The following is a 24,095-nucleotide window of genomic DNA, read 5'->3' as shown; positions in this document are numbered from 1 at the left end:
TGGTCCCACTTGAGTTGTCACGTATGCGGCAGTATTTTCCTCTCCTGTGGTAGTTTTAAAGGTCCCATAATAGGACCTCAACGGATCTGACAGATGAATGAACAAAAAGGCCCCTTTTCCACCATTCATCTCATATAGATTTTGTATGCTGGTTGAGAAATAAGAGAGAAAAGCCACTGTGAGGGTGTTATTATGGACAGTCGAGCAACCAAGAAACATTCTGAGATTTCTGAGTATGTATGTCATTGTCACCTGTCTCCCCAGCACCTAAACGCTTAGGCAGAGACATTACACCAGAACAAAAAATGAGGCCCGTTTCGGCAAATTTACCAGATGACCGTGGGATTATGGAAGGAGTCATTAGGGCCAATGACAGCTCTCCTGTGCATGTGCGAATGACTATTCAGAGATAATGTCACTCTTGTTCCTCCTATTATGAAAAAGAAATTCAACTACAGTCAGGGTTTATTATGACCGAAATGCTGACAGATACTTATCCAAAGGGCCACAGACAGGTCTCACGTCCTTCCATAAGGAGGGAAGGAGGAGACAGAAGTAGTGATGAGAAATCCCCAGCCCCAGATCTTGAAGTGATGAGATAAAAGCATTTGGCTTATGAACCTGCAGGAGACGGGCACACTAGAATTTCTCCCTACAGAGGTAACAGGTGGCCAGGTGGACAGTGAAGTCAATCAAGGTTGGAAACTTTATTGGGCCTTGGGCGGCCCAATATATCTGTCTGGGGCTATGTCTGTCCCGGATGGCATGTGTGCGATGCCCTGTCCACCTGCTCACAGGCGCTTCCTGGCATGACGCCTTCCTTCTATGCAGCAGGCCCTGTTCTGGGTGCCAAGGGGAGATGCGGCACTGCTCAGACAAAGTCCCTGCTCTCACTGAGCTTGTGTTCCTGGGAGGACAAAGATGGTAACCACATAAAAAATAAATACAGGACGTTACTGTACCAAACACAGCAACCTGAGAGCCCCTGGCCGTACAGGAGCTGTCTGCTTCCTGACCCAGGTGAGCCCCTCACCCAGAGTCGGCCCAGGCCGTCTTGCCATCTTTGTTTGCTGCGAGGTGGGGTGGGGCAGGAACAGGCCAATGCCTCTGCAGAGATGGGCTGCTCCTGACCCTCTGCCCAGCTGGGTGAAGCCTGGGAACCAGTGTGCTGGGTGAGAAGCCTCCTTGCTGTTCCTAAAGTCAGTTTCTACCGGGAAAAAGAGCTGGGGACTGCTGCATTTGCCATTTTCAAGCTGTGCGAGTTTGTGATTCTGCTCGAGTGCACTGTGAGTAGCTCCAGCCTGACTCTCCACTGCCACTGTGGGTGTTTGAGCCCAGGCTGCCTCTTCCTGGGCTACAGATCCTTACAGTCACTGGGGACTTCGCAGACCTGGGTTCTCTGACCACAGCGACCCCCGTGGGGGTTTCAGTGTCCCCGGCCCCTGAATCTCAGCTCCTATGTGGCGCTCATCTTGCCTGAACCTGCCCTGCTGGCCTCTGCTTGGTTTCCCAGGTATTTTCTAGGACAGGGCCCTGCACACTCCACAGGCCTCCCTCTGGGGAAGGAGGTCTTTCCTCTGAAGGTCACAGTGTCTCAAGCAGCCTTCTTGGATGCTAAACACTTGCCTTAACTTCATTATTTTTATTATTAGGAACTTCCATTTATTAAATGTCTAATATGTGCTAGTCCCATGCTAAAGCGTTAAATGAACTTCTGGTCTCTGAATTTTATGATGAAGAAACTGAGGCTTACAGAGGTCCCACGACCCATCCCGGTATAGTTGGCCCCTAGCCTCTGTTCTCCATCCTCTGCCAACCAGCCAGCTCTCAGTGACCATCCCCCACACCCCTAACAACCATTGCCGGGAGGGTGGCTCGTTGCTAAGGTGCCTAAAGTTCCTCTCTTCTGCTGGTTTTACCAGGTAATAACTTCACCTTCCCCTGGCCTTGCCTGTGGCCACACAAATCCATGCAGGTCCCAGAGCTGGCTCTGCCCTGCCACAGCCAGGCCTGGTTCCAGACGGAATGCTGGCAGCAGTAAAGGTAGAGTGAGGGGATCTGAGTGTCTTATTCCAGGAGACTCTGGGATTTCTAAGCCTTGACATTGCCTGATGTGCTTATAAACACTGTGGACTTTTGAAGAGAGGAAAGCAAATCACAGAGAAGACATGCACAGGAAAGTGGACGCTTTACAGCTACATTTCAGGACAGGTTTCTACCCACATGTCCACACTGCCTATTTTCCAAGGAAGATCCTCATAATGAGATGGAGCAGGAACCCCTCTTAGGGACTGGTGGGCCCCCAAACATGGAAATAAAGAAAAATCTTGAGTTCCTTCAAGGGAAATTCCAGGCACCTAGCTAGCCCTGAGAAGTAAATGAGCGAGGCTGGGCGTGGTGGCTCACACCTGTAATGCCAGCACTTTGGGAGGCCGAAGCGGGCAGATCACCTGAGGTCAAAAGTTCGAGACCAGCCTGGCCCACACGGCGAAACCCCATCTCTACTAAAAATACAAAAAATTAGCCAGGTGTGGTGGCGAGTGCCTGCAATCCCAGCTACTTGGGAGGCTGAGGCAGCAGAATCGCTTGAACCCAGGAGGTGGAGGTTGCAGTGAGCTGAGATCGCGCCACTGCACTCCAGCCTGTGAGACAGAGCGAGACTCCGTCTCGGAAAAAAATAAATAAATAAATAAAAATTAAAAATAAATAAATAAAGGAGCAACTTGACAAACAAGAAGGTGAAAGTAGCTGAAAACAATAGCCAAGGAAGCCAGAGTCAGGAGATGCTTGGTTCCCAATAGAAACTAAAGTGACATCTTACCATATGTCCCTGAGTTGTTTTTCAGAAACCCGGACTCCCACCAAATGGGTTGGCTATGCAGGTCCGCTACACATAGACCTCAGGTGTGGGGGAGCTGAGGAAGAGCTCAGATATGGGGGAGCTGAGGAAGAGCTCAGATGTGGGGGAGCTGAGGAAGACCTCAGATATGGGGGAGCTGAGGAAGAGCTCAGATGTGGGGGAGCTGAGGAAGAGCTCAGATGTGGGGGAGCTGAGGAAGAGCTCAGATGTGGGGGAGCTGAGGAAGAGCTCAGATGTGGGGGAGCTGAGGAAGAGCTCAGATGTGGGGGAGGTGAGGAAGACCTCAGATATGGAGGAGCTGAGGATGGAACTCTGACCTCTGCTGTTTGTTCTAAATTTCTTCCTAAGGAGCCTGGAGGAAGTCACACCCTCAGGCCAGAGCTAACGTTCTTTTCTGCTGATCCAAAATGTTTCGACAAAGCTTCACCTCCTTAACCGATCACAGATCAGAAAATCTTTGAATTTACCTATAACCTGTGGGTTCCTGCTTTAAGATGTCCTTTTAGGTAAAACCAATGTGTCACCTCCGTGTCCTGATGCTTGACTCTGCCTGAAGCCTCTGCCTCTCTGCCTTTATGGATCCTTACTGTAAGCCATAGGAGAGGTCAGGTCTTAGGCTTGAGTGACCCGATTCTCCTGGCCTGGTGCCCTGAAAGACACACCTCACTTTCTCTCGCTGCAATCCCGATGTCAATGGTTTGGCTTTGCTGTGCCAGGGAGGTCCACAAGTCCGGTTTGATAACAATAAAGGAAACCTCCTCTGAGGTCCCGGTCCTTTGCTTCTCCCTCTGAGGCATGGCCACCTGCCATGAGGTCTTGGTATCTTGCTTCTTTCCTGAGTCTCTCTTTCCTACTCACTGAAGGCAGGTTCTCCTTGTACTTTCCTCAGAGGCCCCTGTGCCTAGCACAGCACTGGACCACAGCGAATGTCAGCACATGGGGATTGGAGGGGTGAGTAGAGCAGAAGCAAGTTCTGTGGAAGGGCAATCCCACCCCGGAATTCCAGGGCAATCCATTTGGCTTTCAAACCCCCGGCTGGGCCGGGCGCGGTGGCTCACACCTATAATACCAGCACTTTGGGAGGCCGAGGTGGGTGGATCATTTGAGGTCAGGAGTTTGAGACCAGCCTGGACAACATGGCAAAACCCCCTCTCTACTACAAATACAAAAATTAGCTGGGTGTGGTGGCAGGTGCCTGTAATCCCAGCCACTCTACTCGGGAGGCTGAGGCAGGAGAATCGCTTGAACCTACAAGGCGGAGGTTGCAGTGAGCTGAGATCACATCACTGCACTCCAGCCTGGGCAACGGAATGAGAGTCCGTCTCAAAAAAAGCAAAAAACACAAAAAAAACCACCCTGGCCGTTTAGGCAAAAAGGGGACTGCCCCCGGATTGTATGGGCTTCAACTTCTGACTAGGGAAAGCAGATACACTCATCTGCTGAGACGACATTTTCCCCAGGATTCACCTCTGGGAGAGGTGTATCGCAAGAGGCTTTGGACCAAGGACGTGCTAGAGAAACAGAAAGCCCCATACATCCTGCAAGGTGTCCTCGCAGGTGAGTGCCTCAGCAAACAGCAAAATGAAACACAGCCCGTGGCCTCCCATCCATCAGCCCAGGATCCGGTCCCTCGGCACAGCGTGTGCTTAGGAGAGAGACAGTGTTGCTTCACGCCCCCGACTTCACCGAGGCATGCGTCATTCCAAACGCTGTCGCTGTCGACGCCGCCGGCAGCCTCGGCGTCTCTAAGCGTCCTGGGGACGCCTGGGCGCCCGGCTGCTCCATCTCCACTACTCTTTAGTTACAGAGAGACCAGCACTAAACAGACTTGTGCTTTATTAGCCCATAACACTTTCTAAAACAGTTTCTTCTAAGAAAATGGCTACTATTATGCACAAATAAGCACTAAGTGGGACTTTTTTTTTTTTTTTTTTTTTTTTTGCTTTCCATTTTCAGAATGAAAACAGTTTTAGCTGTACCTAAAGTGTTACCACTAGCATCTTCATTATGGAAAACTCTGCTCAGGGCAGGCTTTTGAGAAGACTAGACGTTATTTTGGCTATTAGAGCACAGCAAATGGCTGCGAATGGCAGGGGTTTACAGAGGTAACTGAGCAGACAAACAGGAGTGGCAAATGAAAACATATAACATTTGCATTCTCCCTTTTATGGTGCACCATAAAAATGCTCAAAGAGATGTTTTGCTCACTCTACAGTCAAAGGTTACTAATTAAGCAAAGCATTACTGAGCCAGAAATACCTATAAAAGCTGCTGCTTTTTTTTTTGGCAACCCACATCTGAGCATCAACTTATTATAGGGCCTTTCAATGGGTTCCTCCAATGATTAGGATCCTTCATTCCATAATTCACTGAAGGTAACTCTAAGTAATAAAACCTTCTTGGTGCACTTTTAAAAATGGTTAGCATCTAAAGGAAACTTTTCTGCAAAGAAGATACAATTGAAAAGTAGATGAAAGGGAAGAAACGTGAACACTCTTCTGGCAGAGAGTGTTGTGGTGGGAGCTTTCGTCCCTGCCCTGCTCTGCTGCTCTCCGCCTGGGCTCACGTTCACAGAGCCTCGAGACGGGGCTTGGCTGTTAGGACCTTCCTGGGCCCTCCACACCCAACTGATGGGTTCTATTGTTCCTTCCTCAGTGTCCTCCCGGCGCCCCAGCAGACCTCTCTGACATCACCTCCCTGGCTTCTATGTGATTAATGACTTTGTATCTAGACCATGTGCTCCGGAGTCTTTCTCCTCCCCAAATTCTAGCCCAGGGCCAGGCACAGACTAGGAGTCAACAACCGCTTCCCGGGTGAGAGGCTGTGAGAGGCAGCCCTGGAGTCTCCCTACAGCAGAGAAGGCCTGGGTTTGTCTTGCATCCCATTCAAAGGGGGTGAGGTATAGGAGGCCCCAGAGGCCTCATCTATACTAGTCACAGCCTCAAGGGCCCCGCTGCCTGGAGTTTAGGACAGCTGGGCTTCATGGGTGCCTCTGGAGCCTGCCTGGACCAGGGAGCCCATGGGACATTCTCAGAGAAGTGGCTGGGGAATGAGAACCAGGCGTCCTGGGAGGACCACGGGACAGGGGGTAGGCGAGCACAGAGGGAGGCTGGGACAGAGCCACAGACAGCCTCAGGGGCTGGCAGGTTTCTCAGAGGAGATGCATTCGTAAAGTTGCTCAAGCTTGACAGAAAGCAGAAGTCAATGTAACACCATGTTCTAGTTCTCTCAATCACCCGTGAGACAGGCACTGTTATTAGGGCTTTATGGCTAAAGAACATGACCTAAAAGACTTCCCTAAAGCCTCACAGCTAGAAAGTGATGGAGCTGGGATTCCGGGCCCTGTCGCTGTGATCCCAAAGCCTGTGCTGCTTGTGTCTACACGCCCGACGGTTTTGTTCTGCTCGCTGCTTGTCACGATGTCTTTCCTGGGGGATGAGTCAGAGATGATCCATGGAATGTGATGAAGGCCAGGAAGGTGGCACGTGGAGAGAAGCAGTGTGGAGTTCCCCAGAAGAACGTGTGGCCAGAATTCCGGCATTAAGAATGAGAAGAGGGGGCTGCAGAACTGTTCTTTCCCTGGACGGAGCTGTAAAGGTGTTGGCTGGTGATGTAGAGGGTTGGAGTATATTCTGCTTGAGTCTGTAGAAGGCTGAACAGCAGCTCTTATCTACACTGGCCTGCCAGTGAAACACCCTCAGAAGGTGTTTAAAGAGATGCCTGCTCATTCATCATTGTTAAAAGCATACCTTGCTGTTGGCAGGGTGCAGTGGCTCACGCCTGTAATCCTAGCACTTTGGAGGCTGAGGTGGGTGGATCACCTGAGGTCAGGAGTTTGAGACCAGCCTGGCCAACATGGTAAAACCCCATCTCTACCAAAAATACAAAAATTAGCCAGGTGTGGTGGTACGTGCCTATCATCCCAGTTACTCAGGAAGCTGAGGCATGAGAATCATTTGAACCTGGGAGGTGGAGGTTGCAGTGAGCCCAGATCCTGATGCTGCACTCCAGCCTGGGTGACAGAGTGAGACTCTGTCTCAAACAAAAAAAAAAAAAAAAAAAAAAGAAAAGAAAAGAAAATGGCAAATGTGGAGAAATCTAAGCCAGCACTCACTGTGAGACAGAATGCCCCAGTAAGGATCATTGCCTTTGTAGATATAGAAAAGTGAGGCAGAGTTGATGTGCTGGACATATAACAAGTATGACTTGACTGGACTTCAGGAATTTTTAAGTCCTGTACTTAAGTCCTGGAAAGAAGATAGTGCAGTCATGTTAGACTTTGATAACTTCAGTTTATATGCAAAAATTTTAAGGGCAGCAGTGAAAGAGTCCAGTCAGGGGTCAGGATCTGGGCAAAGAAGGCATCCAAGCAGAATGGTGTCCAAGCAGGGCAGCAGCCCACTTTGATCATAAGACTGGCCACATAGAGTGGAATTCAGCAAAAAAATAAATATACTGAGCATACTGGGAGCCAGAGAAGGGCTCGGATAGATGTAGAAAAGGGAAGCTCACATAAACTGAGGGTTTTGCATTGTATTTGGAGGTGATAGTGTGAAATAATGCTTTTCAGTATGTGTGGCTAGATATAGAAACTGACCTAGCTATAGATATATGTACATTTCCTAGCTGGGAGCAGTGATGCCCCAGTAGCAATGAGCACACTACTGCCTGGATCTTGGTTTCTAAATCCCACTCTCCACTGCACTAACCCAAGGTTCCCTGGAGAAATGGCTGGGAAAGAAGAGAGAAAGAACAAGATGAGTTGGGAACATCTTGTGCCAGAAGATAAGGAAGTGCTCAAAGAATGATGGAGACATCAAAAGAATACAGAAGCCAGCTGGATGGGCTCCCCGCCACCCCCAAATCGCCAAATGGAGGGAAGTTTGAGCATCAAAATTAGCAATGATAGCAATGGGTTAAAATCTGTTACCCAAAATAAAAAGTCATGAGTCCACACTGATGATAATTAATGGAAAAATAAATGAGGAGAAAGCTTTTGCTTTCAGGAATAGGCCAATGGATAAATGTAGAAGAAATGATTGAATTTTTAAAAAATCACTGGTGCCCTCATTGCCCTAATTAATTCCAGCAAGAAATATTAATGGATGACAAACTGGTGGATGAGACTGGAAAGAGAAATGAGGTTTTTAAAGAATCTCAAAGTATCTTCTCACAAAATACTGATTAATTGTAAAGTGGGTGGTGCAGAAGTGGCGGTCATTTTAGAGGGGAGAAATCTCAGTCAAGTTAGCAAAATAACTGGACTAACAACGGGACATGCCAAGGCCAAGTCAAACCCAACAAGGTGTAGCAGGAGGTGCCCAGCATCACTTCCCCCACATTCTGGCCAAAAATGCGTCACCTAGGACGACTCCTAAAGACACTGGGATAAATCCAAATTGAGGGGAATCAGGGAAATAACCGGCCTGTAGTCTTCAAAATTGTCAAGGTCACAGAAGTCAAGAAATAACTGAGATCACAGGAGACCACTGGGTGCAGCCCATGTCCTGGAGTGGAGCCTTTTGTTACCGAGGGCTTTTGGGGAAAACTGGGCAAATCATGGATGAGGCCTTTGGGTGGAGGGGAATTCTCTGTAGGATTCTTAAGGCTTGTCTATAGTTTCTAAAACACTTTTGAAATCAAAGGGAAAGATTACCCTTCAAGGGAATTGGAAATTCCACATGAAATGTTTAACCACTGGCTGCAGGCTGTGAGCTGGCCCAGGAGTCAGGCAGCCCCAGGGAGTCACCCACACGTGGGCTCCACGTGACGGAGCTTCCCTGCCCTGGACACTCAGAGACAGCCCAGGGAGGTGTGCAACCAACACAGGCCTGGGGAAGGGGCAAGCCCACGATGGGGAAGGCAGGAAGCTTGCCCCGTTCATTCTTCCCTGGAGCACTAAAACCTCTGAACTGCTGGAGAATAGCAGCCCGGGACAGGCTGCCTGAGCACATCTTGCCTCCAAGGCCCAGCACAGAGGCCCCCTGAGGCGGGACCCTCAGCGGAGATGCAGATCTGTCATTTCCAAGCCTCACAAATGGAAGAGTGCTGCAGCCTCTGCCCCAGGGGTTCTGATGAACTGAGTCGGGGTCTGGGCGCCTCCACACCCACAACGTGTGGCAGGATTGGGAGGCACTGAGCACCCTGTGCAGATGCCCATGAGGGTCTCACCTCCACTTGAGGGAGGGTCTCACCTCCACCTGAGAGACCTCATCCTGCAGATGCCCACGAGGGTCGCACCTCCACCTGAAGGAGGGTCTCACCTCCGCCTGAGGGAGGGTCTCACCTCCGCCTGAGAGAGGGTCTTACCTCCGCCTGAGGGAGGGTCTCACCTCCACCTGAGGGAGAGTCTCACCTCCATCTGAGGGGCCTCATTGTGCAGATGCCCACAAGGGTCTCACCTCCACCTGAGGGAGGGTCTCACCTCCCTCTGAGGGGCCTCATTGTGCAGATGCCCACAAGGGTCTCACCTCCGCCTGAGTGACCTCATTGTGCAGATGCCCACGAGAGTCCTCTGCCTGAGGGCTAAGGAACACAAGCTCAATCCAAACTGTGTTTATGAAAACTGGTGAGAAAATACACTATCGATCTTAAAACCCAGGCCAAATCTACAACCAGAAAAGGCCAAGTTCACTTATGAACATGGATACAACAATCTCAACCCCAAACAAAACAAACATCAAGACCAAATTGCTTCTGTCTCAGGAGCTCCGGAATAGTGAAACAGAAGGGCAGTGTGAACCACCTTACCAACAGATGAAATCAGAAAAACCAAATGAGCAGCTCAATAGATGAGAAAATAGTCTGATGCAATTAAATTTATTTATGCTTTAAAAAAAAAAAACCAACTCCTAGGAAATCAGGATCAGAAAAGAATCATCTTAACCCAATACAGGCTGGATATATTTTTTAAAAAGCCTACATCAATGGTGTAAATGTCATACCTGATGATAAAATCTTACAATAATTTCTTTAGAGTGACAAAACAAAGATTGTCTTCTATCATTGTCCCAATTCGATATGATAGAAGACGCTTTAGCCCTCCCAGTAAGATTACAAAATACTCAAAGAAGAAGAAACAAAAAAGAGAAAGAAAGAATATAAAAAATTCAAAGGAAGAAACAAAAACTGTCGCCATTAACAGATGATATGAATTCTTTATAGAAAATTACAGTAAAACTAACCAACTAACAAGAGAATTCCCAAAGTTTCTGGCTGTAACACCAATACACCAGGCTGAGCAGCCACAGACTTCCGAGGTTTGCAGGCTCCAATCCGGCTTCATGGCTTGGCTGTGTGACCTCGGCAGGTAATCCAACACCTTGATGTCTCATCTGTGACACGGGGTTATAACAGCCACCAGAGAGCCATTATGAGAATTAAACGTGTTCATAGTTGTGAAAGCACTTAGAACACAGAAGAATTTATTAAAGAAACAAAAATATTTAAAAATCAATTGTGTTCCCCTATGCAAACAACACAGGCAGAAAATATCATTTAAAATAGCCATACGTGAGTTAATCCTCATGACAACCTTGCAGATGGTACTACTGACCCCATTCTCCAGATGGAAATTCAGGCTCACAAAGAAGTTAAGAAGCACGTCTACAGAGCTGGGAAACAGGGGTGCTAAAAAAGGGGGGAACCAGGTCTGTCTGACTCAAAGCCCGTATTCTTCACATTACAGCTTTTGAGGTATATTGATCGCCCCTCATTTTCCTGCCTTTTTGAGAGCAGGTGAAGGCAGGATTAGAGAGCCCAGTGCTTCTCCAAGAGAAAACAGCTGAGAAAAGTAGATTTAAACAAGTGAAAAGAGGTAGCATGATCCTGAACAGAAAGATTCAACACCATCAGATGTCCACAAGAGTGGCCGGGAAAATCCTAAGAAAGTCAAGCAATGCGTGTGTGTGTGTGTGTGTGCGCGCGTGTGTGTCTGTGCACACACATTGGTTATGGGGAAGCAGGCCTCACCAGATATTAAAGCATAGTTTAAAGCCTCTCTAAGTAAACAATGTGGAATTAGTGCATGAATAACCAGGCTAATAGAACAGAATGAAAAGTTCAGAAATAGACCAAAGTGCGTATGAGAATTTAATGTTACAAATCAGGAAAAAAAATGGTCATTTTAATAAATGGCACTGAGGCAATTACGTAGCTATTTGCAAAATGATGAAAATGGATTCATACCTCACTCCATATACAAGAACCAGTTCCAAATGGATGGAGTTCTAAATGTAAAAATGAAACCAGAAAATTGGTTGGGTTCCTTTAGAACCTGAAAGTGGGGAAAACCTTTCTGCCTATGATTCAAAAACCAGAGGCATGCAAGAAAGGAGTCATAAATTAGACTTCAATTTTTTTTTTTTTTTTGCATGGCAAAAAATATATACATGTTGCTGCTGGGAATGCAACATGTTACCATCTGCAGAAGAGGGATTTGGCAATGTCTGGGAAGTTTACATGTGCATTTGCCTTGTGATCCAGCCAACCCATGCCTGGGAATCTCCCCCAAAGATACAGTGGCAAAAATACAAAATGACTATGCAAAAGGCTGAAAACTAGCTTGAGGCTGAATGAGGCCCCCTGGAGATGCCCATACCCTAATTCCTGGAACCCATGAGTACGCTGCCTTATGTGGCAGGAGAGGCTCTGCAGATGTGATTAAGGGTAAGAACCTTACATCAGGGAGGTTATCCAGGTGAATACAAGGTAATCAGGAGTCCTTAAAAGTGGAAGTGGGAGGCTGAAGAGTGGGCCAGAGAGATGAGAAGGAAGGAGGAGGAAAGAGCCAGAGTCTGAGAGGACTTGACCTGCCCCGGCTGCTCTGAAGATGAAGGAAGGGGATCCCGAGCCACAGACCGTGGTGACCTCCAGGAGCTGGGAATGACCATGGCTGACAGCACAGTATGGGGACCTCAGTCCTACAACTGCAAGGACTGAATTCTGCCGCAACCCGAATGACCCTGGAAGCTGACTCATCCCCAGAGCTTCCGGAAGAAACATGGCTCTGGTGAGACCCATGCTGGACTTCTGACCTGCAGAACTAGAAGATGACACATGTATGTTGTATCAGCCACTCAGTTTTTGGTGATTTGTTATGGCAGTGATATAATACTAATACACATCCCAATGCGTGTCAGCAGAGGACTAGCTACATAAACAAACCCCAGCTCATGCACACCGGGCAGACCTGTGCAGGTGTGAGAAGAAAGGACAAGTGCACACATGATGCCCAGGGGTATTCAGGATGTGCTGTCACCGGAAGACAGCAAGGCGCAATATGCCACCTTCCGTGGAAGAAAGAGGAAGTACACATATACGCAGAGCTGTTTATGTTGCCAGAAAGAAAAAGAAAAAGGAAAAACCAAAAGTCTAATAAATATGGTTATCTATGTGGCAGACAGGCAACAGGGTAAGGAGACAAATGAACAGAAACTTCTGTGAATGTCACTTTTTAAATAGTTTTGACTTTGAGATCGTGTAAATGAGTTATATCCTCAAGAATTAGTTTAAAATCCTCCACCAATTTTTTAAAATGTAAAATGAGCTAGGTGCAGTGGCTCACACCTGTAATCCCAGCACTCTGGGAGGCTGAGGCGGGCGGATCACTTGAGGTTAGGAGTTCAAGACCAGCCTGGCCAACATGGTGAAACCCCATCTCTACTAAAAATACAAAAATTAGCCAGGCGTGGTGGCGAGCACCTGTAATCCCAGCTACTCAGGAGGCTGAGGCAGGAGAATAGCTTGAACCCGGGAGGTGGAGGTTGCAGTGATCTGAGATCACGCCACTGCACTCCAGCCTCGGTGACAGAGTGAGACTCCATCTCAAAATAAATAAATAAAAAAAATGTAAAATGATTTTTAAAGAAAGTCAGTGCTAAAAATTGAAGCAAAAAAACAAAACAAGTCCTGAAATGAACGCACTTAAATCTGTATCGAGATAACCACAATGAGAAAAGAACAGTGGCTTTAGAACAGTACTGCAACTGTACTTGTATACTGTAAGTATAAACTAAATATATTATAAACTGAATATAAACTGTAGGTATAAACTGAATATATTACACTTCCATGGTATAACACATTTTAAGGACAAATACTTAAATTTCATTCAGTAGTCTCTGTTAGTCATACCACTGAGATTATAATTTTGAAACTCCTAATAGTATTTGTGTTTTAACATAAAGTTTTCATATAAGTAAGATACACAGGCAAATTCACAGACCACAGGTTGAACCTCTTAATACAATAGGAGGATAAAGAAGATAATCGAGTTAGGAGTCCTAAAAAGCACAGTCTTAGAGTAAGGGAAAATATATTTAAAATATACATTTAGGCTGGGCGCAGTGGGCTCACACCTGTAATCCCAGCACTTTGGGAGGCCAAGGCAGGTGGATCACTTGAGGTAAGGTGTTCGACACCAGCCTGGTCCAACATGGTGAAACCCCATCTCTACTAAAAATATAAAAATTAGCTGGGCGTGGTGGCGGGCGCCTGTAATCCCAGCTACTCAGGAGGCTGAGGCAGGAGAATCACTTGAACCCAGGAGGCGGAGGTTGCAGTGAGATCGTGCCATTGCACTCCAGCCTGGGTGACAAGAGCGAAACTCCATCTCAAATAAATAAATAAATAAAATAAAATAAAATAAAATATACATTTAAGTAACAACATAACATAACATAACATAACATAACATAACATAACATAACATAACATAACATAACGTAACATAACATATACATTTAAGGTCAGTAACCTGAAATTTCATTGGAAACGTCAGTATGAACTCATGATGCTTCAGAAAATATGTTCTGTCTACTGGGAAGGTGTCGAAGCAGGGACCAGCTGGGAGCGAGGAGATCCACCTTGGTGCTCAGGTTATCGTCTTTAAACAGCATTTGACACTCATGAAACCAAGGCCCTGCAGGCATGGCTCCATCTCAGCTTGAGGCAGGAAGTCATCAAAGAGTGGAGCCTCATGCCGGAGCCCCAGGATACGAAAGCCTCCCTAGGCCAAAGACAGGCCAATTCTAGGTTCAAAAAGAATAATGACTGCAGGTGACTGAAACCCACTGAACAGGTAAGAACCTATGCTTTCATGATGATACTCAGCAAAAGAGATCACAAGACAGAAAAAGAAAGAAAAATCTATTTAACATTGGAAGTAACCAGGGGACCAATTCCTCACCCTGGAAACTGGTAATTAAGGGAAAAGAATTAAGCATTTATTCTGCCTTCCTGCATTTGAGAGTAACTAAATAGTCTGAGGGATGAGCAGAGATGCTTCTTTTTAGAGTTCCAACAGCTAAATGAGGAAAGACTGATAGAAATATAAAATTATCATCTTGAATATCCTAAGAACATAATTAATTCAGGCAAAGATCATGGATGGATGAGACCATTAGATAAAAAGCTGATGGAGAAATTCACAAGGTAGGCATCAGGCTGCTACGCTCTGCCACCCAACTTAGCATCCCTGAGTGGGGCGACTAGACCTACGTGCCCCCACCCTGCTGTAGTAACAGGGAAGCAGTCTTAGGGAGGGAGGGAGACAGACAGAGAGAGAGAGGAAGGGAGAGAGGAAGAAAGGAAGGAAGGGAGGGAGAGAGGAAAGGAGGGAGGAAAGAAGGGAGGGAGGGAGACAGGAAGTAAAGGAAGGGAGGGATGGAGGAAGTAAAGAAGGGAGGGAGGAAGTAAAGGAGGGAGGGAAGAAGTGAAGGGAGAGAGGGAGGAAAGAAGGGAGGGGTGGAGGAAGGAAGGAAGGAAAGGAGGGAGGGAGGGACAAGAGAAGGGAGGGAGAGAAGAAGGAAAGAAGGGAGGAGGGAGGCAAAAAGGAAGGAAGGGAGGGAGGGAGGGAGGGAGGGAGGGAGGGAGGAGTGGAAATGGAATCTACCAGTTCTTTGCAATGAACTTCCAGTTTACAGGGCAAACGGGGTAGAGGAACAGGTCAAGTGACCCCACAAGGATGTAACCAGGTGCATCTCCAATGCAGATGTCCCATGGGATGACTGGCTGGGTTTTCTCAACGAGGCAACTGCATGGGGGAAAAGAGTGGGGGATTCCACTAGATTAACAGAGCTGTAACCTATAGTGACAGGAAGCAGATGAGTGGTTGTGGGGACGGGGAGGGTTGGTAGGGAGGGATAGTGGGGGCTGCAAGGACACCTTTGAGGGTGAGGAACCTGTTCATTATCTCATCTGTGGTCACAGCTTCCCAGGTGTGTGTATATGTGTAGCTAAGTCAAAAGCTGTCAAACTGTCCATCTTAAATATATGCAGTTTAAACCTGTATGTCAATTGCAACTCAATAAAGCTGTTAACATTTTTTTTTAACAATTTGAGAGACATGACAACAAAATGAATAGTGTGAACCCTGCGTGAATCCTACTTTTATCAAAACCACCGTAAAGAGATGTTTTGGAAAATTTGGGGGAATCTGAGTGTGAACTGACTATTAGATGATATTAAAATGTTCAAATTGCCAGGTGCGGTGGCTCATGCCTATAATCACAGCACTTTGGGAGGCCGAGGCTGACAGATCGCTTGAACTCAGGAGTTCGAGACCAGCCTGGGCAACACAGCAAAACCCTGTCTCTACCAAAAATATAAAAAGTTAGCTGGTGTGGTGGCACACGCCTGTGGTCCTAGCTACTCAGGAGGCTGAGATGAGAGGATTGCTTGAGCCCAGGAGGCAGAGGTTGTAGTGAGCCGAGATCATACCACTTCACTCCTGTCTGGGTGACAGAGTGAGATTCTATCTCAAAAAAATAATAATAATTTTATCAGGTGTGACAATGGTATCATGAGAAAAGACATCCATATTTTCATGTAAAAATTTCTTTTCTTTTCTTTTTTTTTTTTTTTTGAGACAGAATCTCACTCTGTTGCCCAGGCTGAAGTACAGTGGCATGATCTCAGCTCACTGCAAACTCCGCCTCCCAGGTTCAAGCGATTCTCCTGCTTCAGCTTCCTGAATAGCTGGGATTACAGACGTGCGCCACCATGCCTGGCTAATTTTTGTATTTTTAGTAGAGATGGGGTTTCACATGTTGGCCAGGCTGGCCTCGAACTCCCAACCTCAAGTGATCCGCCTGCCTTGGTCTCCTAAAGTGTGGATTACAGGTGTGAGCCATCACGCCTGGCCAAAGTTTTCACTGAAGTAAGACATACAGGCAAGCTCACAGACGACTGGTGTATACACAAAATAAGCACCCAGATCAAAAGACAGCACTCCTGCCATTCCAGACGCCCCCTCCTCAGGTGGCCCCCTCCCAGTCACTGTCACCCCCACGGTAAGTAACCACAAGGGTCCCAGGAAAACCTGTTATTCCAACACCAAAGATTACTTCTTCCTGTTTTGGAACATTCTATAAATGGAATCACACAGTATATGCTCCAAGCAGGGGTCTGGTTTTCCTTTTGTTAAACATTATGCCTGTGAAATTCATCCATATTGGCATGTGAACAGGCATTTTAGACACATGTGTGATGTGTATGGGGGAAAAGTGACATGTGGTCTGAAATATGCTTCAAAATACGCCAATAAAAAACCAGGGATGGATGGATGCAGCAAAATCTTGAGGATCATTGACTTTTGCTGATGGGTATAAGAGGGCTTACTCTATTCTTCCTTTTGCATATATTTAAGATGTTTTACATTAAAAATGTAAAACCTCTTTACAGGTCAGGTGCGGTGGCTCATGCCTGTAATCCCAGCGATTTGGGAGGCCGAGGCAGGCGGATCACGAGGTCAGGAGATCCAGACCATCCTGGCTAACATGGTGAAACCCCGTCTCTACTAAAATACAAAAAATTGGCTGGGTGGGTGGCGGGTGCCTGTAGCCCCAGCTACTCGGGAGGCTGAGGCAGGGGGAATCACTTGAACCTGGGAGGAAGAGCTTGCAGTGAGCTGAGAAGGCGCCACTGCACTCCAGCTTGGCGACAGAGCAAGATTCTGTCTCAAAAAAAAAAAAATTAAAGAAACAGGTTGTATGACATAAAGCTAGGATACTATGGCCAAGAAACTGTGGTGAGGGTCCCCACATCACTCCTTGTCTTTCCCTCCCAGATGAGCTGAAATGCAACACTCTCAGACTCTCCTGCAGTGACACAGGGCCACGTTGCCCAAGTTCTGGGCAACGGAACATGGGCCAAAGGAGCGTCATCCACTCCTAGGCCTGCCTGGATGCACAGATGAGCTTTTGTATGTTGAGCCCTGAAGACGCTGGCGTTTCTGTCGCTGTGGCCTGCCTAGCCCTAGCGTAACACCACATTCTAAAGCCTGCAGAGAGCGCTGCCTCCTGGCCTCAGCTATGCGGCATCGTCAGACACCAAAGACCACAGCGCGTGCTTCTGCGGGCCTAAAAGTATTGCCTGGCTACTTCTGCAGATGGATTTTAATAGTAGAATTGGTTTTCATGAGACATTGTGATTCTTGTCCTATATTTAATCCTAAGCGTTTTAAAGTTTGCTTTCATCAATTTAGTCTTCATTTGCTGAAGACTGATTTTCTTTTTTCTTTTTTTATTGTAATTTTATTATTATTATACTTTAAGTTTTAGGGTACGTGTGCACAATGTGCAGGTTTGTTACATATGTATACATGTGCCATGTTGGTGTGCTGCACCCATTAACTCGTCTTTTAGCATTAGGTGTATCTCCCAATGCTATCCCTCCCCACCCCCTCAACGCCACAACAGTCCCTGGTGTGTGATGATGTGAGGTAGGGCTCTACTGCTATTTTTCCTAAGTAAATAATTGTTCCAGCCCCATTTGTGGGTCAGTCCCATCCAGATGGTTTGCGCCTTCAGGATCCTCCTTAGACTTTCAGAAATGTTTGCTTAATGAAACTTTTGAAGAGGTAGATAGGATTTGTTCCCTAATTTACGGCCAATTTCCAGGAGTGGATCGTCTTGCAGTATAGCATAAGTACAGTCATGAAAACCACAAGGATTTTACTACAGATAATAACTATTTTGAAACTTTACTACTCCTCATAATTTGGCCCTTTATCTTTTTCCTCCTGCTTTTATTGGAACATGGAAGTGGCAGATTGCACGGCTTCACCAATGCCAGCATGATCCTATTCAAGCCTGGCACTGTCCCGGACCCCTGCGTGCTCCAGCACTTGCACAGCTGGAGTCGGACCGGAAGTCTCTCGGCGGAGTCCACTCTCTCAAGTCCTGTGGAACCCGCCCCCAGCTCTCCCCAGACTCACTCCCTGCCACCGCAGGGCTTGCTCCCCTCCCTCCAGCACCCACCCTCCTCGCTGTCCCTCAAATATAACAGCTTTCCCACAGCTGGAGGTCTTTCTTTCCCAGACAGCACTTTTCTCCTCGACAGCAGAAACTCAGCCAGCTTTGTCTACTGCAATAGCCCCCGTGCTCAGAATAGTGCCTGCTGATAGAACAATCGTCTCTAAAAATATTGTTGAATGAATGCATAGCTAATGACACACAAGCTGTACCAAGCAATTAATCCTATTAGTATATTTAGTAGCTAATTGTGATATAGAATTTTTAAAAACTCAATCAACGACACTATCCAATTTTGGGTACCTATTTTGAATCACAACTTTCATTTTAACCCTTCTTATCCTTGTCTTATCACCTGGTAGGACCCCGGCCTGACATCTTGTTCTTTGTCTTCCTACATTCTGCCCTGGTATCTGGGCTATCTCCAGCCCCTGGTTCTCCCTCTCCAAGCACACCCATCTCCCCGACACCCCAAGCCATCATCTGCAGGGGTACCACTCATTCACAGGCCCCAACACTGCTCTTCGCAAATGCCAGCTCCCAGTCTAACGACACACGTACCTGCCCCTCAACAATCCACCTGGAGATGGACGTTTTCCCGTCATAGCCTGGCCGGAACTGAAGGGTGGCGGAGCGAGGGCTGATGTTGGAAATGACCAGGTTGGATGGGGCACCAGGAAGGTCTAGAGAGGAACCAGGGAGGAAAGGGAGAGATTTACAGTCCGTCACAGCTTAGGAAAGGTATCAAACGTGTCAGCTTCAAAAGTAAACAGTTTCAAAACGATTCTATACCAAAAAAGGATTTGCTCTCAAAACCATGAAGGTGAGAAGCAGCACAGCTTCCCCAGGGGCATGATCAGTGCATGGTTTTTGCTTTAATGGGGTGACCCAGTGGGCTTTGGGAGACACGTCGCTAACATGGCCTCCCTGATGAGAAACTCTGCAGGCACACGTCATGTCTTACGCATCTCTGTACTTCGTAGGTAATTAACAGATGCTGGCTGAATGAGGAAAGGATGAATGAATGTAATTCTTCCTGGCTCCTCAAACCACACAGAGAACGAGCGGGCCGTACTTCCTTTCATAATTACCGCGGCCTCGGAGGGATGGAGGGAAGAGTGCATAGGCCCAGGGTTGCTCCCAGGCGGCGTGACACCCGGTCAGGATCGCCTGCTCCCAGGCGACGTGACACCCGGTCAGGATCAGGTCTTGAGCCTTAGGCTTCTTGGATTTCGTTTCCAAGACGAACAAATTCTCGTGCAAGTGCAGAACTCTCCTTTCTCTGCTTCTATTCAGTTGCTCAGGCAACTGGATAAGGTGGAAGGTGGGTTCTGAATGAGCCTCCCGTTGAGGGTGCCCGTGGCTCAAGCCTACTCCTAGATGAGAGACCCTTCAGATGCCGCTCCCCAAAGAGCATCTCCCACCCGGAATTGTAGCATTATGAGTTCAAAACGAGAGCTTTCGTGTTACTGTGCCATGCAAAATACTCTAGAGAAAGATAAGGGGATAAAATGGGGAAGAAAAAGAAAAGAAAAATGCAAGGCTAGGGCAGCTTTCAGACCTCACTATCTCTGAGGAATGCTTTCCTCATTTGCTGTTGCTTGGGGTGTTTGAAACCAGGTCTTGCACAGGGACAATGAAACTATTTTGGTGATCAATTCAGTATCGGCATGGGCAGGGTCTGTAGGATCTCAAGGGTCCTTTCCACATCTAGTTTTTAATGAATTTGAAATAGAAAATGTTTAAATTGAAGGACAAGTGGACTCTTTCCTATTTCTCAGCTCTCTGGATTTTTAAATGGTTCTTCAATCATTAATGGCGATAAACTTCAAGCACGGTAAACAGAACATGGTGTCCCCAAAGCAGTCCTCGCCATTTGATTTGCCTCCAGCCACTACCCAGGATGAGTGGGTAAGGCTTTAAGACCCCTCTCCAGCTACAAGCGTTCAGCCTTGGCAATGACGGAACAGCAACTCCAGTGCCTCCCTGCACCTTGGTTATCAGGGGTTTGGCCAAAGCAGCCAGGCCTCAGTTTCCCCTCTAACACTCCACTCTGTGGCTCCAGACGTAGTGTGCGTCAGAGTGTTTCTGGAAGCACAGCCTTCCGGAGGTCAGCTAACCCATTTCCCTGCCCTGGATAAACAATGTCCAAGACATCTCAGGAAAACTCTGGTAACTTGCACCCAGATGTGCTTCTAGTGTTAACCTTGGTCGCTATATATACCAATTTTTACCCAATTAAACCACACACCATCATCATTGATATGGTTTGGCTGTGTCCCCACTCAAATCTCATCTTGAATTGTAACTCCCACATTTCCCATGTGTCATGAGAGGAACCTGGTGGGAGGTAACTGAATCATGGGGGCAGGTCTTTCCTGTGCTGTTCTCATGATAGTGAATAAGTCTCACAAGATCTATGGGTTTTAAAAACGGGAGTTTCCTTGCACGGGCTCTCTCTTTGCCTGCTGCCATCCATGTAATACATGACTTGCTCCTCCTTGCCTTCCGCCATGATTGTGAGGCCTCCCCAACCATACGGAACTGTAAGTCCATTAAACCTGTTTCTTTTGTAAATGGCCCAGTCTCGGGTATGTCTTTATCAGCAGCATGAAAATGGACTAATACAATCATCGCTACTGTTTTGAAAGTATTCATGGCATTTTAGATATGCATTGGGAACTGGCTTTAAACACTTTCAACGCATGTTCTGGGAACTGGCTGAGGCCAAAGCAGGAGGGGAAGACAGAAGGGACGTGAGGCCGTGGTGGAATGCTCTGGAGAATGGGGCTGAAGTGGGGTCAACACCCATTTACCCTCCAGCATCTTGGCAGGAGGCCACTACTCCTTTTCAAGGCACTCAGTGGCTTCCACACCAAAGTGCCAATCAACTTCTAGCCTCGGGAATCTCCAAGAGAAAGGTGACAGCAGGAGGACCGCACACGATTCTACTGACCTGGGGGCACTCCAGAAGAAATGGTGGATGAAGTCACCAGGCCAGTGCCCACGGCAGTCACAGCGGCCACGTCGATGGTGTAGGTGGTGAGAGATGAGAGGCCTTGGATCTTGTACTCGTGCGTCGTGCTGTTCAGGGTGTGCGTGAGACGAGAGTCGTTCCTGCCGTACACTTCCCAAGAGATCTGATAGCCTAGAAAGCAACAGGACCAGACCAGTGTTGGTCTCCTGAAGGCCAAGGGCTCACCTGAATTCCACAGCACCATCGTTGCAGGCTTGGAGCTATGGAGAGCTTGGCTGGATGTGCTGAAGGCAGCTTAGAGCCACTGTGCTACTGACATGAGACACAGGTCAAGGCTCCTTCCTCTGTGTGCCCAATGCGATCTCGTAAACCTGCTTATGGGAGTGACGGTCCCACCACAGGGGACCATCCCTCCCTACCAGGGCGAGCTTCATAAGGACAGGGCCTCTGGGATGCTCTGGTAACCTCAGCACCAGGTGCGTGAACTGAAACATGACGACAGCTGCCAGCCTGCTGTGCTCAATTCGACCTTCTCTTGTCAAATTATGAATGCATTTCACCAATAATTCCACTAAAAAATGTTATGTATGTATATATGTATGTATGTATCTATCTATTTATTTTTGAGTCTGTTGCCCAGGCTGAAGTGCAATGGTGCAATCATAGCTCACTGCAGCCTCAACCTCCTGGGCTCAATCCATCCTCCCACCTCAGCGTCCTGAGTAGCTGGGACCACAGGCGTGAACCACCATGCCTGGCTAATTTTTTGTATTTTTTTGGAGAGATGGGGTTTCCCCCTGTTGCCCAGGCTGGTCTGGAATTCCTAGGCTCAAGAGATCCTCCCGCCTCGGCCTCCCTTAGTGTTGGGATTACAGCCACTGTACCCGGCCAATCATTTCATTTTTGGAAGCCGATATTTTTTGTACCTTAAATCAATGGCTTGCTCTTCGGTTGCAACTAATTCATGGAAACACTTCTACTTTTTCCTTCAAGAAATGACTGACAGATTACTCTTACATTTTGCAATGCACTGGAAAAGTTTATTTTCACCTGAGTGTGTGAGTTTTGCTTCTAGCTCTCTCTCCCCTTTTCATATATCCTGTTTTCTAATAAATTTGATTTCCCCCTATACTCTCTTCAGGCCAGTGGGGCCTCATGACGAAAATTTATTCAACCTGGGATTCCACTGTGACTTGGGGCTTAGAGAAAAAAGACCTGCGGGGCACGGTGGCTCACACCTGTAATCCCAGCACTTGGGGAGGCCAAGGCGGGTGGACCACCTGAGCTCAGGAGTTGGAGACCAGCCTGGCCAACATGTGAAACCCCGTCTCTACTAAAATATAAAAATTAGCCATGCATGGTGGTGGGCGCCTGTAATCCTAGCTACTCGGAAGGCTGAGGCACGAGAATCACTCGAACCTGGGAGGCGGAGGTTGCAGTGAGCCAAGATTGCGCCATTGCACTCCAGCCTGGGTGACAGAGCAAGACTTTGTCTTAAAAAAAAAAAAAAAAGGAGAAATAAGACCCAACTAGCTCCTGAATCAATCAACCCGCGTGGAGGGGAGTTAATGTGATCAGAGAGCACTTAAAAGTGTCTTTTAAAGAGGGAGACAGTGGTGGAAAGAGCTCATAGGTCCACAGGCAAAAGAAAACAGCTGAAAACGCTTGCTCTTCCCTATTTCTAGTCAATAACCTCAGGGATATAGAAGCGCTAGGACGCACCTGAAACTTCCTCCTCATTCTGATGAAAGCAATAAATAAAGCTAGGAGTTGCACTTGCAGGTAAACAAGAATTTAGAGGACAGCATCTTGAGACTTTATATTTTGAAAAAAATTTAATGTCGTAAACTGCTCCCCCTGGCCGTGCCACAGGCCCCGTACAGCCTGGCAGCTTCTGTGTGCGGGCTGAGGGGACTCCCGTGTGGGCGGACGCAGTGGGGAGCTCCAAGGAACAAGGGCCACCAGAGGGGAGGCCTGGCTGCTGGGTGCCTCCAGAGCACTTGGAGCACCTGCCATCCTGTGAGTTGTCACCAAGTGGTGCTGCCTGCCTGCCTTTGGGGTCTCTGCCTGGGCCCAGGAGGGTCACTAAACCATCCTCTGTGGTGTCTTCATCAAAGGCGCCTGGCTGCTTCTCAGGTCCTGGTCTCCTTTTCCTCCTCCCAGGGAGAGGGGAGAAGGCCGACTACCCAGGCCAACCACTCATTTTTGCCTTCTCCCATTTCCTTCCTAACTTTATTAAAAAAAAAAAAAAATATATATATATATATATATATATATATATACAGAGAGAGAGAGAGAGAGAGAGAGAGAGAAAGTCTTGCTCTGTTGCCCAGGCTGGAGTGCAGTGGGGTGATCACGGCTCACTGCAACCTTGAACCACTCAACCCAAGCGATTCTCCCACCTCAGTCTCTCAAGTAGCTGGTACTATAGGCATGTGCCACCATGCCTGGCAAGTTTTTAAAATTTTTTGTAGAGATGAGGGTCTCACTGTGTTGCCCAGGCTGGTCTCAAACTCCTGGTATCAAGCGATCCTCCCACCGTGGCCTCCCAAAATGCTAGGATTACAGCCGTCAGCCACCACGCCCAGCCTGGGCCCTGCCCTCGCTTTACATCTTAGCATTTCCCTCATCTGCCCACCCTGACGTCTAAGACATCTAGCCTGCCCCATTCATTCATGTAACCCTCACAACACACCTTTGAAATTGGAGCCATTGTTATCCTATTTCACAAAGGAAGAAACCAAGCCACAGAAAGCTTCGTGGACTTGCTGGAACCCAAGACAGCCCTCAGTGGATGAAGGAAATAATGGATACATGGTCCGTTTCCAAGACAAAGTACCTTGAATCAGCTTAGGTCAGCAAACTACAGAAGAAACAGGATACACTAAGCCCCTGCTTCAATCGCAAATGCCTGCTTCTCAGCCTCCCCCAATCCCTCAGTTGTCCCCACCCCAACCAAAGAAGTTTAGTCTAAGATGAAAGTTTACTATCCTGCAGAATAGCT

The 24,095-nt window shown here is 47.5% G+C and overlaps 1 protein-coding gene across 5 annotated transcripts in view, besides 2 other annotated features; it reads right to left on the bottom strand.

Annotated features, from left to right (window-relative positions):
• Positions 1 to 24,095, bottom strand: part of SDK1 (sidekick cell adhesion molecule 1) — a 967,749-nt gene that overhangs the window by 170,741 nt on the left and 772,913 nt on the right. For all 5 annotated transcript variants that reach the window (NM_152744.4, XM_047420038.1, XM_047420037.1 and 2 more), the window contains 2 exons: positions 21,071 to 21,262; positions 18,676 to 18,797 (listed from right to left, as the gene is read on the bottom strand). In NM_152744.4, coding sequence (NP_689957.3) covers positions 18,676 to 18,797; positions 21,071 to 21,262 — 314 coding nt within the window. The remainder of the gene's footprint in view (positions 1 to 18,675; positions 18,798 to 21,070; positions 21,263 to 24,095) is intronic.
• Positions 8,370 to 8,914: an enhancer, noted in NCBI's record as "H3K27ac-H3K4me1 hESC enhancer chr7:4128978-4129522 (GRCh37/hg19 assembly coordinates)". NCBI's record gives its function as "activates a minimal SCP1, AML or CMV promoter by ChIP-STARR-seq in primed H9 embryonic stem cells {active_cell/tissue: H9 hESC(primed)}" and the evidence as "EXISTENCE:reporter gene assay evidence [ECO:0000049][PMID:30033119]".
• Positions 18,927 to 19,143: a silencer, noted in NCBI's record as "fragment chr7:4118749-4118965 (GRCh37/hg19 assembly coordinates)". NCBI's record gives its function as "represses an EF-1alpha promoter that drives an FKBP-Casp9 reporter gene in an ReSE screen in K562 erythroleukemia cells {active_cell/tissue: K562}" and the evidence as "EXISTENCE:reporter gene assay evidence [ECO:0000049][PMID:32094911]".

The sequence above is a fragment of the Homo sapiens genome, chromosome 7 (genome assembly GCF_000001405.40).
Source record: "Homo sapiens chromosome 7, GRCh38.p14 Primary Assembly".
Taxonomy (NCBI): Eukaryota; Metazoa; Chordata; class Mammalia; order Primates; family Hominidae; genus Homo; species Homo sapiens.
The sequence above is the reverse complement of the archived record's forward strand: the minus strand, read 5'-3'. Positions and strand labels throughout refer to the sequence as shown.